The 18,188-nt window shown below is 46.4% G+C and overlaps 1 protein-coding gene across 28 annotated transcripts in view; it reads right to left on the bottom strand.

The window, feature by feature from the left end:
- Positions 1–18,188, bottom strand: part of DOCK3 (dedicator of cytokinesis 3) — a 709,272-nt gene that overhangs the window by 14,364 nt on the left and 676,720 nt on the right. For 26 of the 28 annotated variants that reach the window (XM_005264914.4, NM_004947.5, XM_006713010.4 and 23 more), the window contains 9 exons: positions 14,812–14,953; positions 13,580–13,746; positions 13,342–13,428; positions 12,694–12,873; positions 11,994–12,077; positions 11,758–11,874; positions 9,203–9,324; positions 7,838–7,976; positions 7,161–7,308 (listed from right to left, as the gene is read on the bottom strand). In XM_005264914.4, the coding sequence (XP_005264971.1) occupies positions 7,161–7,308; positions 7,838–7,976; positions 9,203–9,324; positions 11,758–11,874; positions 11,994–12,077; positions 12,694–12,873; positions 13,342–13,428; positions 13,580–13,746; positions 14,812–14,953 (1,186 nt within the window). The remainder of the gene's footprint in view (positions 1–7,160; positions 7,309–7,837; positions 7,977–9,202; positions 9,325–11,757; positions 11,875–11,993; positions 12,078–12,693; positions 12,874–13,341; positions 13,429–13,579; positions 13,747–14,811; positions 14,954–18,188) is intronic. The other 2 variants (XM_006713008.4, XM_047447600.1) reach the window with 1 other exon arrangement.

Raw genomic sequence — 18,188 nt, 5'->3', positions numbered from 1 at the left:
AGGGCTTGGTCTGAATACTTCAGGTGAAGTCTGACTGTGCCTGCTGCAACCTTACTCCACTTCCCTCTACAATCTGCCAAGGCTTTTCCCAGGTGGTCACTGCATCTTTTCACTGTGCCATACAGCAGTCACTCCTACTGTGGGCTTCTCTCCATCACTCCTACTGTGGGCTTCTCTCCATCACTCCTACTGTGGGCTTCATGGGTTTGTGTGCTTTAGAGAGCTTCTTTTCTTAATGACTTCCCAAGTCATACATTTGTGCTATTACACCAATCAGACGTAGATTTTCACATAGTCCCATATTTCTTGGGGGCTTTGTTCATTTCTTTTTACTCTTTTTTCTCTAAACTTCTCTTTTCGCTTCATTTTCATTCATTTGATCTTCAATCACTGATACCCTTTCTTCCAGTTGATCGAATCGGCTACTGAAGCTTGTGCATGCATCACGTCACTCTCATGCCATGGTTTTCAGCTCCATCAGGTCATTTAAGGACTTCTCTACACTGTTTATTCTAGTTAGCCATTCATCTACTCTTTTTTCAAGGTTTTTAGCTTCTTTGCAATGGGTTCAAACATCCTCCTTTAGCTCGGATAAGTTTGTCATTACCGATCATCTGAAGCCTTCTTCTCTCAACTTGTCAAAGTCATTCTCCATCCAGCTTTGTTCCATTGCTGGCGAGGAGCTGCGTTCCTTTGGAGGAGAAGTGCTCTGATTTTTAGAATTTTCAGCTTTTCTGCTTTGGTTTCTCCCCATCTTTGTGGTTTTATCTACCTTTGGTCTTTGATAATGGTGACGTACAGATGGGGTTTTTGTGTGCATGTCCTTTCTGTTTGTTAGTTTTCCTTCTAACAGTCAGGACCCTCAGCTGCAGGTCTGTTGGAGTTTGATGGAGGTCCACTCCAGACCCTGTTTGCCTGGGTATCAACAGTGGACGCTGCAGAACAGCAAATGTTGCTTTCTGATCCTTCACTCTGGAAGCTTTGTCTCAGAGGGGCACCCTGCCATATGAGGTGTCAGTCGCCCCCTACTGGGAGGTGCCTCCCAGTTAGGCTCCTGAGGGTTCAGGGACCCACTTGAGGAGGCAGTCTGTCCGTTCTCAGATCTTAAACTCCATGCTGGGAGAACCACTACTCTCTTCAAAGCTGTCAGACAGGGACGTTTAAGTCTGCAGAAGTTTCTGCTGCCTTTTGTTCAGCTATGCCCTGCCCCCAGAGGTGGAGGCTACAGAGGCAGGCAGCCCTCCTTGAGCTGCAGTGGGCTCCACCCAGTTCGAGCTTCCCAGCCGCTTTGTTTACCTACTCAAGCCTCAGCAATGGCGGATGCCCCTCCCACAGCCTCACTGCCTCCTTGCAGTTCAATCTCAGACTGCTGTGCTAGCAGTGAGAGAGGCTCCATGGGTGTGGGATCCCCTGAGTCAGGCGCAGGATATAATCTCCTGGTGAGCCCTTTGCTAAGGCCACTGGAAAAGCGCAGTATTAGGGTGGGAGTGTCCCGATTTTCCAGGTACCATCTGTCACGGCTTCCCTTTGCTAGGAAAGGTAACTCCCCGACCCCTTGCATTTCCTGGGTGAGGCAATGCCCCGCCCTGCTCCGTGGGCTGCACCCAGTGTCTGACAAGCCCCTGTGAAATGAACCCAGTACCTCAGTTGGAAATGCAGAAATCACCTGTCTTCTGTGTCAGTCACACTGGGAGCTGCAGACTCGTTGTGTTCCTATTCATGATGGGGAGAATGGAACCAAATTGGAAAACACTCTTCAGGATATTATCCAGGAGAACTTCCCCAACCTACCGAGGCAGGCCAACATTCAAATTCAGGAAATACAGAGAACACCACAAAGATATTCCTCAAGAAGAGCAACTCCAAGACACATAATTGTCAGATTCACCAAAGTTGAAACGAAGGAAAAAATGTTGAGGGCCACCAGAGAGAAAGGTCAGGTTACCCACAAAGGGAAGCCCATCAGACTAACAGCAGATCTCTCAGCAGAAACTCTACAAGCCAGAAGAGAGTGGGGGCCAATATTCAACATTCTTAAAGAAAAGAATTTTTAACCCAGAATTTCATATCCAGCCAAACTAAGCTTCATAAGTGAAGGAGAAATAAAATCCTTTACAGACAAACAAATGCTGAGAGATTTTGTCACCACCAGGCCTACCTTACAAGAGCTCCTGAAGGAAGCACTAAACATGGAAAGGAACAACCGGTACCAGCCACTGCAAAAACATGCCAAATTGTAAACACCATCAACGCTACAAAGAAACTGCATCAACTAACGAGCAAAATAACCAGCTAACATCATAATGACAGGATCAAATTCACACATAACAATATTAACCTTAAATGTAAATGGGCTAACTGCTCCAGTTAAAAGACACAGACTGGCAAATTGGATAAAGAGTCAAGACCCATCAGTGTGCTGTATTCAGGAGACCCATCTCAAATGCAGAAACACACATAGGCTCAAAAGAAAGGGATGGAGGAAGATCTACCAAGCAAATGGAAAACAAAAAAAAAGCAGGGATTGCAATCCTCGTCTCTGATAAAACAGACTTTAAACCAACAAAGATCAAAAGAGATAAAGAAGGCCATTACATAACGGTAAAGGGATCAATTCAACAAGAAGAGCTAACTATCCTAAATATATATGCATCCAATACAGGAGCACCCAGATTCATAAAGCAAGTCCTTAGAGACCTACAAATAGACTTAGACCCCCACACAATAACAATGGGAGACTTTAACAGCCCACTGTTAATACTAGACAGATCAATGAGACAGAAAGTTAACAAGAATATCCAGGAATTGAACTCAGCTCTGCACCAAACGGACCTAATAGACATCTACAGAACTCTCCACCCCAAATCAACAGAATATACATTCTTCTCAGCACTACACCACACCTATTCCAAAATTGACCACATAATTGGAAGTAAAGCACTCCTCAGGAAATGTAAAAGAAAAGAAATTATAACAAACGGTGCCTCAGACCACAGTGCAATCAAACTAGAACTCAGGATTAAGAAACTCACTCAAAACCACTCAACTACATGGAAACTGAACAACCTGCTCCTGAATGACTACTGGGTACATAACGAAATGAAGGCAGAAATAAAGATATTCTTTGAAACCAATGAGAACAAAGACACAACATACCAGAATCTCTGGGACACATTTAAAGCAGTGTGTAGAAGGAAATTTATAGCACTAAATACCCACAAGAGAAAGCAGGAAAGATCTAAAATTGACACCCTAACATCACAATTAAAAGAACTAGAGAAGCAAGAGCAAACACATTCAAAAGCTAGCAGAAGGCAAGAAATAACTAAGATCAGAGCAGAACTGAAGGAGATAGAGATACAAAAAACCCTTCAAAAATAAATGAATCCAGGAGCTGGTTTTTTTTGAAAAGATAAACAAAATTGATAGACCACTAGCAAGACTAATAAAGAAGAAAAGAGAGAAGAATCAAATAGATGCAATAAAAAATGATAAAGGGGATATCACCACCGATCCCACAGAAATACAAACTACCATCAGAGAATACTATAAACACCTCTATGCAAACAAACTAGAAAATCTAGAAGAAATGGATAAATTCCTGGACACATACACCCTCCCAAGACTAAACCAGGAAGAAGTTGAATCCCTCAATAGACCAATAACTGGTTCTGAAATTGAGGCAATAATTAATAGCCTCCCAACCAAAAAAAGTCCAAGACCAGATGGATTCACAGCCGAATTCGACCAGAGGTACAAAGAGGAGCTGGTACCATTCCTTCTGAAACAATTCCAATCAAAAGAAAAAGAGGGAATCCTCCCTAATTCATTTTATGAGGCCAACATCATCCTGATAACAAAGGCTGGCAGAGACACAACAAAAAAAGAGAATTTTAGACCAATATCCCTGATGAACATCAATGCAAAAATCCTCAATAAAATACTGGCAAACTGAATCCAGCAGCACATCAAAAAGCTTATCCACCACAATCAAGGGAGCTTCATCCCTGGGATGCAAGGCTGGTTCAACATATGCAGATCAATAAACGTAATCCATCATATAAACAGAACCAAAGACAAAAACCACATGACTATCTCAATAGATGCAGAAAAGGCCTTTGACAAAATTCAACAGCCCTTCATGCTAAAAACTCTCAATAAACTAGGTATTGATGGGACATATCTCAAAATAATAAGAGCTACTTATGACAAACCCACAGCCAATATCATACTGAATGGACAAAAACTGGAAGCATTCCCTTTGAACACTGGCACAGGACAGGGATGCCCTCTCTCACCACTCCTATTCAACATAGTGTTGGAAGTTCTGGCCAGGGCAATCAGGCAGGAGAAAGAAATAAAGGGTATTCAATTAGGAAAAGAGGAAGTCAAATTGTCCCTGTTTGCAGATGACATGATTGTATATTTAGAAAACCCCACTGTCTCAGCCCAAAAGCTCCTTAAGCTAATAAGCAACTTCAGCAAAGTCTCAGGATACAAAATCAATGTGCAAAAATCACAAGCATTCCTATACACCAATAACAGACAAACATAGAGCCAAATCAGGAGTGAACTCCCATTCACGATTGCTTCAAAGAGAATAAAATACCTAGGAATCCAACTAATAAGGGATGTGAAGGACCTCTTCAAGAAGAACCACAAACCACTGCTCAACAAAATAAAAGAGGACACAAACAAATGGAAGTTCCAACATTCCATGCTCATGGATAGGAAGAATCAGTATCGTGAAAATGGCCATACTGCCAAGGTAATTTATAGATTCAATGCCATCCCCATCAAGCTACCAATAACTTTCTTCACAGAATTGGAAAAAACTACTTTAAAGTTCATATGGAACCAAAAAAGAGCCTGCATTGCCAAGACAATCCTAAGCAAAAAGAACAAAGCTGGAGGCATCATACTATCTGGCTTCAAACTATACTACAAGGCTACAGTAACCAAAACAGCATGGTACTGGTACCAAAACAGATATATAGACCAATGGAACAGAATAGAACCCTCAAAAATAATACCACACATCTACAACCATCTGATCTTTGACAAACCTGACAAAAACAAGCAATGGGGAAAGATTCTCTATTTAATAAATGGTGCTGGGAAAACTGGCTAGCCATATGTAGAAAGCTGAAACTGGATCCCTTCCTTACACCTCATACAAAAATTAATTTAAGATGGATTAAAGACTTAAATGTTAGCCTAAAACCATAAAAACCCCAGAAGAAAACCTAGGCAATACCATTCAGGACATAGGCATGGGCAAGGACTTCATGACTAAAACACCAAAAGCAATGGCAACAAAAGCCAAAATTGACAAATGGGATCTAAACTAAAGAGCTTCTGCACAGCAAAAGAAACTACCATGAGAGTGAAAAGGCAACCTACAGAATGGGAGAATATTTTTACAATCTACCCATCTGACAAAAGGCTAGTATCCAGAATCTACAAAGAACTTAAACAAATTTACAATAAAAAAATCAAACAACCCCATCAAAAAGTGGGCAAAGGATATGAACAGACACTTCTCAAAAGAAGACATTTATGCAGCCAACAGACACATGAAAAAATGCTCATCATCACTGGCCATCAGAGAAATGCAAATCAAAACCACAATGAGATACCATTTCACACCAGTTAGAATGGCAATCATTAAAAAGTCAGGAAACAACAGGTGCTGGAGAGGATGTAGAGAAATAGGAACACTTTTACACTGTTGGTGGGACTGTAAACTAGTTCAACCATTGTGGAAGACAGTGTGGAGATTCCTCAAGGATCTAGAACTAGAAATACCATTTGACCCAGCCATCCCATTACTGGACATATACCCAAAGGATTATAAATCATGCTACTATAAAGACACATGCACATGTATGTTTACTGCGGCACTATTCACAATAGCAAAGACTTGGAACCAACCCAAGTGTCCATCAATGACAGACTGGATTAAGAAAATGTGGCACATATACACCATGGAATACTATGCTGCCATAAAAAAGGATGAGTTCATGTCCTTTGTAGGGATATGGATGAAGCTGGAATCCATCATTCTGAGCAAACTATTGCAAGGACAGAAAACCAAACACTGCATGTTCTCACTCATAGGTGAGAACTGAACAATGAGAACACTTGGACACAGGGTGGGGAACATCACACACTGGGGCCTGTTGTCAGGTGGGGGAAGTGGGGAGGGATAGCATTAGGAGATATACCTAATGTAAATGACGAGTTAACGGGTGCAGCACACCAACATGGCACATGTATACATAGTAACAAACCTGCACGTTGTGCACATGTACCATAGAACTTAAAGTATAATAAAATAAATAAATAAATTTGTGATATTTTTCTTTGGTTTCATAATAATGAGAAGAACAAAGAGACTCCCTCCTTCTGAAGCCTGGAAGCAAGAGCAAGTGACTGGCTGGCAAGCTCAGACCACTGTCACTACCCTGCAAAGCCAACCCTGGGAAGCACTAGATCCTATGTACCACAGCTAATTTCCATTCCACTGCAAATGTTTCTGTCTACAAGGACAGAATCAACTTTCACTTGGGAACTAGGATTAGAACGTGAAAAAGATGCGAAGATGCTGCCTCTCAAAGAACAATATTCATTCAACTGAACAAGAAATCAACTAATAATTGGCAAAGTAAATAGGTTTTTACAGAGCCATCTCTCCTGAGAAAGCCTTTCCCAACTGAAGAAAAATTTTTTGGTTGCTGTTATTGTTTTAGAATAACATTTTCCAGGGTTAATTTTAGTCTCCCGATTTACTTTTCATACTTTGTCATCATGCCTGATTCCTCAAGACAAAAGACTCACTTTTGCCTAGACTTTGATCTTTGTTCTAGCAAAACTTTCAATGGGAAAGAAGTGAGCTTTCTTCTAAGCTGTGTGTCCTGTGACTGAGGTAGAAATGCAATGGCGGCACAGCGGCAGCCACTGCTCAGAGCGGAGTCTGAAGCCAGCCAGGGAAGAGGCCTGGAGGCAGGAACTCTCGAGTCCTTAGTGGTAAAAGCACAAATGAGTATTCTCTAAGTCACAGGGCTGCTCAAAGACACAGCCACAGATGAGAGGAAGCCGAGTGGCGTTGATGAAGACCTCTCTTCTCCATTCTGCAAGTAGCACCCTGCCATCCTTACCTCGGGCACTGGAAGGGGCAGAGGTAATCATCTGGGATGGTGCTGAGTGAGTGGAACTCAGGCTGGAGGAAGAAGGGCTTGCCTGGGACGAGGACAGAACAGAGACGTTGGTGACTGAGCCTTGGTACCTGGGGTTGGGATACGCGAGCTGCAAAGGGAGAAAAATCAGCAGGATAGAGGTCTGAATGGCCAGGACTTTAGGGCTGGCACAGAGTTTGCTTTTTCATGCCCTGAGGTGTTCTGCCCCAGTGCCTTATGCTATCCCCTGAGCCCTGATGGAGGCCAGGCTAATGGCTGGGCAACTAGGGGCCACCCACACCACCCATATGGAGCGAAGTTGTTGGGCTGGCCATACTACGGTGACCATGGAGGAAGCAGGGCTAAGCCAACAGGAATGCCAGGCAAGGGGGCAATCTGGCAGAGGATCTTTCCCGTGGGATCTCCTAAAGCAACCAGGACTGAAGCTGGATTTTCTTCTTGGGAAATAAGGCCTGGGAACCGAGACTTAGGATGGTGTGTGGAGGAACGGCAGCTTTCTAGCTCTGGTGAGGGGTGTTCTGAATTCAGGAGCTAGAGAATTAGGCAGGGTTGCCAAGCCCTCAGACTAGACATTGCAACAGCAAGGTGAGTTCTGTAGGCATGGTGCCCTGGCCCACTCTCCGTGGACAGCTCTGTACCTGCATGTGGTGGTACAGGTCCTCAGGAGCATCACCCATGGAGCCGTCACCCAGCATCACCATGTTTCCTGCTTCACTAGACGCATGTGAGGAGAGAGAGGATGATGAATGGCGGCCTGTGCCCATCAAGTTCATGGGGCTGTGAGCAAGAGTGGGAAATAGGGAGGAGTCAGGCCCATGGCAGGTGGCAGGGGGACAGTAGAGCGGAATGTGTGGAATAGTCATCCCTGGTTTCAGCTACCACCGGTTTGGAGGGTTCCATAGTCAATGCTCATACCCATCTGAGGCCTGGAGCAGTCCTGAGCTGTACCCTGCTACTCAGGAGCCCTTGGTCTGGGAGAGACAATGGTGTGGTACACTGGACAAGCCTCTACCTACAGCTACATGGCTTATGGCCACTCAGTTGCATGACATTAGCAGTTTCTCAGGAGGAATAAGAGATATGCCAAATCAGGTCAAAGACCTCAGGTTCCCCTTTCTATGGGGTATTAGTCTGGGTCAGTGCCCACCCCCCAACCCCCCCACACCATGATGGGATCTGCTTCTTGGTCAGAGGCTTCTTCCTAGTGTGGGAAGCTACCAAAATAGCCGGCTGTGAACTATCTGCAGGCCTCCTTCCACATCTGTGGCCAAAAGGCTTGTCAATAGCTCTCCTCTAGCAATACCAGGAAAGCTTCTCATTCATTTGTCCCTTATTTACTAAGTGCCCACTCTGTGCTGAGCTGCTGCTCACACTGGAAAACAAGCCTAAGTGAGGGGCTCCTCTCACTAGTCTCCTCCTCCAACTTGGCCTTCCTGGCCTAGAGGCTTTCAGTATTCTCAGTTGAGCCCAGGCAAACCAGTCTTTGATGTTCACATCACTATGCTGTTTCTTCCTTAAAACTGACTTGGTGATCCTCATTCTCCTTGGGATCAAGTCCAAAGGCCTGCATGAACAAGGCCCACTCAGAGCTGATCCTATCCCCTTTCCGTGCCCTGGAATCCGGCACTCCAGCCACTTGGCTCTACTCAGAGTGCTGACCAGGCTGGCTTGTTCATATCTTGAGGCTTCTGCATGTGTCAGTCGATTTTCCTAGATCTTGCCCTATCACCCTCCTAACCCCTAGCAAACATCTACTTATCCTTCAAGACTTACCCCAAATGCCCCCTCCTCCATGTTCCCACAGTATCATGTATACACTTCTCTTACCCAGGATAGTGACTGACTGAATGCAGGGTGTGGGTCCTATGGCAGGAGCCACATAAGTGTTTGCTGTGTGCATGGGTAAGAGGGAATATGAGTATACATGAGGACTCTTTCCTCTGACCCTTGACAATTTAGACTCACCTCTCCAGAGGGAACCCTCCCCAGCCCTAAGGCCATACCTGTGCCGGTGGGTCATCTTGATGCTCTCCGGACTCATGGGGCTATGGGATGCCAGAACATTTCCCCGTGGGGTGCTGGTGCCTGAACATGCAGGACTTAGCTTATCCAAACCTGGAAACTCCTGTTGAGAAATGAATGCCCCTTCATAGAGAGTAAAGAATAAATAAGTAACTAAGGGATGTGAGGGAATAACTGACTGGTGATCAAAAATGTAAAAGAAACAAAAAAGAATCATATGGTTGGCTGAACCTGAACTGCTGACTTCCTTTGGGCAATGCCCTCTTCACGACTAAAACACCCTCCTAACTGCACTGGAACCTAGACCAAAGGCCGTGTGCGAGGCCCCAGGTTGACTCCACATTAAGAGAAGCACATCTGGAATAAACTGAAGCTGGTCTGAGCTCATAGGAGTGTGTTAACAGGTTTTCTCGCTACGGAATAAGTAGAACAAGATCTGGGAAGAAGGAGAGGAAGAGCTTATTATTAGTTGTCAATAGGTGGGCACCAATTACATAAGGATTGGTGTTGGGTTTTATTAGACTGCTAAATGGCCCAGCTCTTAGTGACCTGGGTTGTCTGTGACACAGTCTACGGGGAGACAGAACATAAAATCCTGATGTATGTAACTGAAAAATAGCACAGCTCTATTTTAGCTTAATTAATTCATATTAAGTATGTAGATTTCTGGGCAGACACTTCTGATCTCAAACCCTACTGGGTGACAGCATGTTTGTTTGTGTCCCTGTGTACAACTCAGAGGAAACAACTGTTAAGGTTTCCTCACGTCCTTCAAAAGCTGTAGTGAACAGGGGCCCTAAGTCCACTGGGGATATTTCTGAGCTTGGTGTGAAGAAGCACCGGGTTTTCCACCTGCTTCTTCCAAAGCATACAGAGGGCTAAAATGTATTTCTGTAGCTGGAGAAAGGCTATGTGTGCACACGGAAGAACGTGATGTATATAGGAAAGTGTTTTGTGCTTTTTGCTGCAACCCACATGGCAGAGAACCTCCTCACTGGCCAGGCTCCAGCCTGCTTGGGTCACCTGCTGTGATGGGGAAGTTTGCACACAGCAGAGACCAGTCAAACAGGCAGGAGACCCTGGAATGAGAGGTAGTGGAATGAATACCCACCAGACTCAGCGATACTGCCCAAGTTCTTAACTAAATGGACACTCCAATTTTAAGGCGGAGATGTAAAAGAGCTTCTCTGCATATTTCACCTTGAAATACCATGGGAGAATCCTAACAGAGGGAGAAATTTCAGGATCTCCAGGCTTTCCTCTGGAAAATGTGCCCCTACCTCTCAAACTACAACAAGCTTCTTTTTCTCTTTTCATGCTGTCCACACTTGTCCACACAGGCTGAGACCTGCACTGGGAGCCTGGAGGGACGGAGATGACCAGAACCTGCAGCATCCAAGAACACAGCAGGTCCGCCCCAAATGGGTCAGGCCCACTGAGTTTAAGTAGTGCAACCTCCCTCAGGGCTCCTGTGGCCATGGTTATCCCTAGAGGGGGAATTTTTTGCTCATGACAACCTCGTGCAGCATTGAACAGCTCTACTTCTTGTCTCCCTGCCACTTCTGTCCAGTGGTCCTGGGTGATGAGAAGAGAACTTGGCTTGGGTGCCAGGTAGCAGCAGGTAATTGGGCTCATATCCCTTAAGATCTGGGAGCCAGCCTGTTTAGCAGGAAGGGATCTTTAGAAAACATTTGGAGTCAGCCCCACAGTTGAAAATGAGGTTTGGATATGTGAATAGGGGGCTCTATCCTCAGCCAGTCAGCATTTCCTCTAAGACCCTGCCAAGGAATACTGGTCCTGGAATATAAGTCCTGTTTGTGTGTTTAAGTCCTTGGGCCAAACCCTACTGTGGAGGCTGAAGAGCTGGGCCAGAGTTAGGGAGACTTTCAGGAGCCTGGTCCAGCCCCAGGACCTGCTTGACTCCTTTAAGGACTGCTAGCATGAAAGTACTGCTCATCCTAGGCTATCTCAGATGTGAGCTTGGATCACGAGACATGATAGAGGAAGCTGGGAATAAGAGGGAGGGAGAGACAGAGGGAGAAAAGGGAGTTGGGAGGAAGAGTAAAAAGAGGGAAAAGAGAACGATTAGAGGGAGGAGAAAGAATGAAGAAGGACAGGGAGAGAGGAGGAGGAGGGAGATGGGGAGAGAAGGCTGGCTCAGGCCATGCCTATCTCTTTAGGTTCTTGGGATGAAAAACATCTCCAAAAAGATCCCTACATGTGGGCCATATATGTTAGCTCTCTTCCTTCACATATGAAAACCTGTCTACTAGCACAGTGCCCTGAAAAACGTTCCCTGCCCTTGAATCTGGCTCCTCCTTTGGGAGTGAGTGAGTGGGAGGATCCTCAGCATCCTTCCCCTGGATATAGCATCCATCCTTGCCCCCTGTCCCTCTGTAGGGAGGACAGCCTCTCTCCCCAACCCCGGCCCCTGCCCAGGCTCCCTCTCTCCTATTTTCCTTTGGTTTGTGGCGTAGGTCTGGAGGAAGTGACACCTGGTTCTACTGCAGCAGGGGCAGGACAGGGATCAACTTACATGGTAGAGACTGGCCCGCATCATCTGGAACTGATCAATTAGCTTCTTATGCAGAGGCCGCATTTCTGGGTGCACAAACTTCTCATGAACTGCTAGCCCAACTCCAAGGACATGAACCTATCAGAGTCACAAACAAGGCCACTCTGTGAACCATGAGTAGCCCCTGAGAACTGCTCATCTTGTAGTGCATGGCTTTTCTCACCTGGCTGCTGGTTCCCAAGCCCTCCAAGACATACCTGCTCCTGCATAAGCTCCTTGAGCTGGGTGATCTTCTCAGCATCTCCTGGGTGCTTGTTGATGTAATCTTTATCAAAGAAGGCCTGTGAAAGGAAAGGCCAAGTCAGGAAGACTCTTCCCAGGACTACTACTTAAGTGGGGCCCAGGAGACTTGAGTCCACTAATGCCACCTAAAAAGCAGCCAGGCTGTCTCCTCATAGGTACATACACCAGTCTGGCCTGTTTGAACTTCTGGCAATTAGAGGTGTGTTTTTTTGTCTGAGAAGGACTGAACGTGGCCAAGCCATCTAAGTCTGGATGCTGACCCCAGTCCCTCATGGAGCCTGGATGGCCTAGGTAGGGCAGGCAGGACTGGTGGACTGGGAGTAGGGGCTAGCCTCTTATCCAGCCTACAACTCACTTCTCCTGACGGGCTGGGCTCCAAGGCTCCTCTTGGAGGGCACTTAACATCCTCCCATAATCAGGATTACAGATTACCCATCTTAGAGTTCAGAGAATAAAAATGAAGAAAAGGCCCTACCAAACTGTGCCAAAGAAATAGGGAGTGATAGGGAGCTTAGGGCCTCATTCCAGGACCATGTCAAGAGAGGGCATGTAGGGAAGGCTACCTAAGGAGACTATAATCTTGAAAAGAGAAGCCTGTGAGCCGCCTTCCTGGCCAGGCTGGCTGCATGGGTTTGGCCTGTGGCCACAGCTTACCTCCTGATAGCGTGCAATGCCTCCATTGACAGCTGCATCAATGACACCATTCAGGCACATGCTTAGCAGGTTAATGTTGCCATGCACCTGCTTGTGTTGATACTGGCTGATCAGGGAGCGTAGCTCCTGGTTCTTATTCTCAACCACTTGGATGGCATTCTCCAGAGGGCTCACCTCCACCTAGGGGCACACAGCACACAGAGTCATCCCAGAAATGATGATAACCCCTCATCATCTTCCTGAGAGCTGGGGTCTAAGATCTGTGGTATTGATTCCCCTTCCTTGTTCCTGTGAACTTGAGACTCCCTGGACCCTTTCCACTTCTGTTGTCTGATTTATAGGCACTTGGAAGTACAGCAAATAGTGAAGAACACTAGTTCTGAAATCAGAGCACTCTGGTTTCTTGAATCTCAGAGAATAGTTTTCTCATATGTAAAGTAGGAGGTTGAAAATACCTGCTGCTCAGGGGTGTTGTATGGATTAGATAAGAGAAGGTACACAAAGATCCTAGCACAGGGTTGACCTGTGGGAGCCTTGGCCAGGCAGGTGGCCGACGCTCTCTTTTTCTTTAGTCCTTAGAGAAGGGCCCCCAGAGCTGGGGCTGATGGAGCAGTTGTGAAGCTCAGCTTCATCTGAGACATGTCTCACCAGTTCCCTCCTCTCCACTTCAAACCACCGAGAGATGCCAGGCAAGCTGTGGGTCAGGGTCAGTGTGGTACGTTCAATCCACAGGCTCTGTAGGGAGGGAACAGGCAGGTATGGGCAGTTAGGCAAGTTTTGCCACACCCTGCCTACCTGAGGGATAAAACAGTGGTGAGTTCCCAAGGAAGTTGAGCTTGCCCCTGGACTTGCTGTGTGTACTGCCCGTTTTCCTAGATTTGTTCACCTTGAATTCATTCTCCTTGTCCTTGGGGCCTTTGTGAAAAGGCCTGTCATACCGGAACTTCCTCACATTGTTGACGCGATAGAAGCTCTTGACTCGATCTGGTACCCTATCCATCTGCAGAACATCCACATAATCTGGAATGGGCGTCACTGCATAGATCTGCAAGTCTGGGCAGGAAGTGAAGGAGAAACACAGACTTGCCAGAGCTGGGCCTGAGAGGCTGACCCCTGTCATCTCCTCAAAGGGGAGAAGTGCACCATAGTCCCTGCTCCTTACTGACAGCCCAGTAGGGGAGGCAGTGGCATCTCTAGGGGCAGATCAGACCCAAGCTCAGTTAGGTAAATCTCTATCTGCTCTCTCCCTCTCCCTGCTCTAGTAGTTGAGTTTCATGAGCACTCAGCCAAGGTGAGATGTCAACAGCCAAGTGTTCTCTGGTGCCCCTTTAAGAAACAAAGGGAAAGAGGGGAATGCAGGCATCCACCCCATGGGAGTGAAAGAAGGCTGCAAGGGTCTGGGCTTCCCCTCTATAGGTAAAGCATATTTACTGAAGAACAACTTTTAAATAAAATACTGTTTGAAATTTTTGTGGAAAAAAAGCAGATAAGAGTCCACTTGCCCTCCCTTCTCTGAAACAAGCTTGCCATAGTCATGGCAACTGTCATGTGGTCCCCAAGGAAGCTGTGTGTGAAAGGTGAGGGGAAGGGCAGTGTTTCCATTCAGACTTCCAAGTGCCACCAAACCAAAGGAACTCCTCATCTTCTCCTGCTCCACACATCCTTGGGCCCTGCCCCAGTCCGCCTGATGAAGAGAAGGGACAACAATAGTACACATGGGAGTGGAGCAGGGCACAGCACAGGTGGTATCCCTGTGACAAGAGCCCTGATAGGACCCCAAGTCACCCTGTACAGTGATTGCTCCTGGCTGCCTGGGCAGACTCCTCATAGGGCAGGGTGAGGATTAAGCTGTTGGAAGCAGCCAGCCTGAGGGATAAAGGCCTTCCTGAAGCCCCACTGATAACTAGACCACCCACTGCTAAGGGCGTGCCACTGCTTCCTCTTTGAGGTATTAGTGCCTTGCTAAGTGTGTGCTAAGCAATGAGGACACACTCAGGTTTAGGACTATGGGATATCTAAACCTGTATGGTTGGCAATGTGGTAAAGGGGCAGCTGACTGGGTGGATCTCACCTCCCAGGGCCCCTGCCCTCCTCCTCCCACCCAGTATCAAAGGATACACTGGGCATCGCACTGTAGGATGGCGTCATCAGGATGGTTGGGGTGCTGCATGGCGACAGCCTGCGGAAACTCACTGAGCATCCTCTGCTGGAAGGCCTCCAGCCTCTCGTAGTCATGGCCACGGCACACGTATTCTTTGTTCTGCCACAAACAGAAGAGCACACTCTATGTATGCTTTGCTTGTAGCCCCCCACCTCCACCCTGGAGTCAGTAGCTACATATAGCACAAACATATCTTAGGAGCCTTCTCTGTATCAGGCCCTGGGACAGGCACAGGGCATTGCACTCAAGGAGGCAGAAGAAAAACAAAGCGAGAATTACACTGTGGTGTGGCAGCCCCAAGGGAAGGGTACAGGCTGCAAGAAGCTTGGAAGAAGAAGAAAAACCTTACGCAGGAAAGAGAGCAAGGTGGGAGATGGGATTTTAGAAAAAGCTATGTTAAAAAAACGTCCTGAAAGGTCCACCTAGGTCAGGCTGGTATGGTATGGTGTGAGTGGAGAAGGGCAATCTATGTGGGTACCGTGACAACCAGGGCAACAACAATCAAGACAGGAAAAGGTGGAGCTGGAAAGAAGGTGTCTGTGTAGAGAACTGGTAGAAGCAGTTGGGCAGAGGGGGCACTGCCAGCCCCTCTTGACATGTCTTCAAAGGAAGAAAGAGAGAGGCATCACAGGGCCAGCCATATGCTTCCCGGGACAGGGTTAATCACTGGGCAGGCCTTGGAATACCCTGACCCTGACTCCAATGTTACCAAGGAGTGATTGCTATGGGTGCCACCAAATAATTTTAAATGGGGGGGGGGTGGTGATCAAGTGTGTGATTCTGAAGGATCACTTTTATTAGTTGGGAGAAACAGTCTAATGTTGCCCAGTGCCCAGTAGGTATTCAGTAACTGTTTATTGCATTAGTAACCCTTTGGCAGCAAATTTCTTTGCAAACATGTCAGCAGAACAAATAAACATCATGCTAAGTACAGACTTCTTAAAACTTTATGTTATGTCACATTTACTTTTGGTTATGTCTCAGTTTTTCTCTTTGTGGACAAGGCACCCCCAACTCTGCTTGCTCTGCCTATGTCATAGCTGGTCATGAGTGGGTGGCTGGAGGAAGTTCCCCTGAAACCCACTGGTGATGCAGTCTGCCCATCCAACTGCCTAGCCAGACCCATTTCAACAAAATGGTATCAGGCACTGCCAGCCCCTCTTGGCATGTCTTCAAAGGAAGAAAGAGAGAGAGAGGCGTCACAGGGCCAGCCATATGCTTCCTGGGACAGGGTTAATCACAGGGCAGGCCTTGTAAGACCCTGATCTTCTTGAAATAGGATTTCTGTCTCATTTTTACTTCCTCTCTCACTATGGGAGAACTTGGCTAAGGCTGGGCCATGTGTCTGTATTGTTTTTTTGTTTTTTTGAGATAAGAGTCTCACTCTCTTGCCCAGGCTGGAGTGCAGTGGTGCAATCTGGGCTCACTGCAATCTATGCCTCCCGGGTTCAAGTGATTCTCCCACTTCAGCCTCTCAAGTAACTGGGATTACAGGTATCTGGCACCATGCCTGGCTAATTTTTGTATTTTTAGCAAAGATGGGGTTTCACCATGTTGGCCAGGCTGGTCTCGAGCTCCTGACCTCAGGTGATCCACCCGCCTCAGCCTTCCCAAGTGCTCGGATTACAGGCATGAGCCACTGCACCCAGACTGGGCCATGTGTCTGGATGAATCAGAATGGAAGGGATTCTGATTCTGATTAACGCTAGGAAGAAAGTTAAGGTCAGGAGGAGCAGGCTGGCCTCTCCAGTGGAACAGACCAGTAGTCAAAGGACAGAGATATTTCTACATCTTTTGCTTGATAAATAAAACTGACAAAGAAAGTACTTGTGAAGAACTAGCCTTTTCATATCATTCATATGTACAACCCTCATCAACGTCTGTTCATGGGTCAAATGAGAAATATAAATTCCCTCAAGAAGGGAGGGTTGGATGTTTTCCTGACTCTTTGCAGATTAATAGATAATCACATTTGTGAGGCGAGGCAGGCAGATGGCCCAGAGAAACCAAGCTGATAGAGCTAAAGTAATAGATGGCCTGTGCATTCAGGGATGGTAGGAGAGTAGCCTAGCCTTCTGGGGAAGGCCCAGCAGGAAGAACGCACACAGTGTTGACCTTGAGGCTGACTGTTGGTTTCATATTCACTTGGGCAAGAGCTCCAGCATCCCCACAAAAGACAGATCTGGCCCCCACTGCTTTGTACCTGATTCCCACCATGGGCAAGGCAAAGAGCTACCTCCACTGGGACTTATTATTCTGCCACAGATGAACTGAGCAGCTGAAATAAGGGAAGGTAGCATGTGGGTTGGCTGAGGAAATTTGTATGCATGAATTATACATGCATTATGCCTCTCGTTGAGATTGCATCTTGTGTGGAGATGGGAATCGATTGATGGGTGATATTTCCTAACACCTCTTGTTATTTTTCCTCCATTCCCAGGGTCTTTGAAACCACATTTGAACATTTGGACTGTTACTTGTGAGCATGATGTGGATGGCTTAGATGCAGGTTTTATGCCAGGTCCTACCTGTCAGAAAGCTCCAACAACCCTGAGACACTAATGTGTCCTGTGACATGAGCATGAAAGGGTGGGAAACAGGTTGGACTACGATGGAGCATTCCTGCTTGGCAGAACAGAAACAGGGGATACCAGGGCCTGATTCTGTAATATCCAAAATAATGATGTTTTATAGTGAAATTTCATTTTTGATGTACAAATTGTGGATCTATACAGGAAGAAGAAAATGACAAGAAAGCATAATTTGAAAAGATAAAATGAGAAAAAGGCAAGTTACAAGACCAGAATCATTAGTTTGTCAAAGGACTTTCTGGAAATGCTTTTGGTTTCTAGTTCTTGTACAATTGCTTCTACTTCTTTTGCTGACTTCCACCACTTCCATTATTCTTATATGATCTATGCTGATGGGGCTAGCAAATATGCCACTTCTAAAATGCCTGGGCTGGATGGTCACTAGAGATGAAGGAGGCCCAGTCCTCTTAAGAAAGTCTCTCCACTCATTCCTGGCTGGGCGCATTGGCTCACGCCTGTAATCCCAGCACTTTGGGAGGCCGAGGCGGGCGGATCACATAAGGTCAGGAGTTCGAGACCAGCCTGACCAACATGGAGAAACCTCGTCTCAACTAAAAAATACAAAATTAGCCAGGCATGGTGGCGCATGCCTGTAATCCCAGCCACTCGGGAGGCTGAGGTAGAAGAATCGCTTGAACCTGGGAGGTGGAGGTTGCGGTGAGCCAAGATCGTGCCATTGTACTCCAGCCTGGGCAACAAGAGTGAAACTCTGTCTCAAAAAAAAAAAAAAAAAAAAAAGTCTC

Source organism: Homo sapiens, chromosome 3 (assembly GCF_000001405.40).
Source record: "Homo sapiens chromosome 3, GRCh38.p14 Primary Assembly".
NCBI classification, from domain to species: Eukaryota; Metazoa; Chordata; class Mammalia; order Primates; family Hominidae; genus Homo; species Homo sapiens.
The sequence above is the reverse complement of the archived record's forward strand: the minus strand, read 5'-3'. Positions and strand labels throughout refer to the sequence as shown.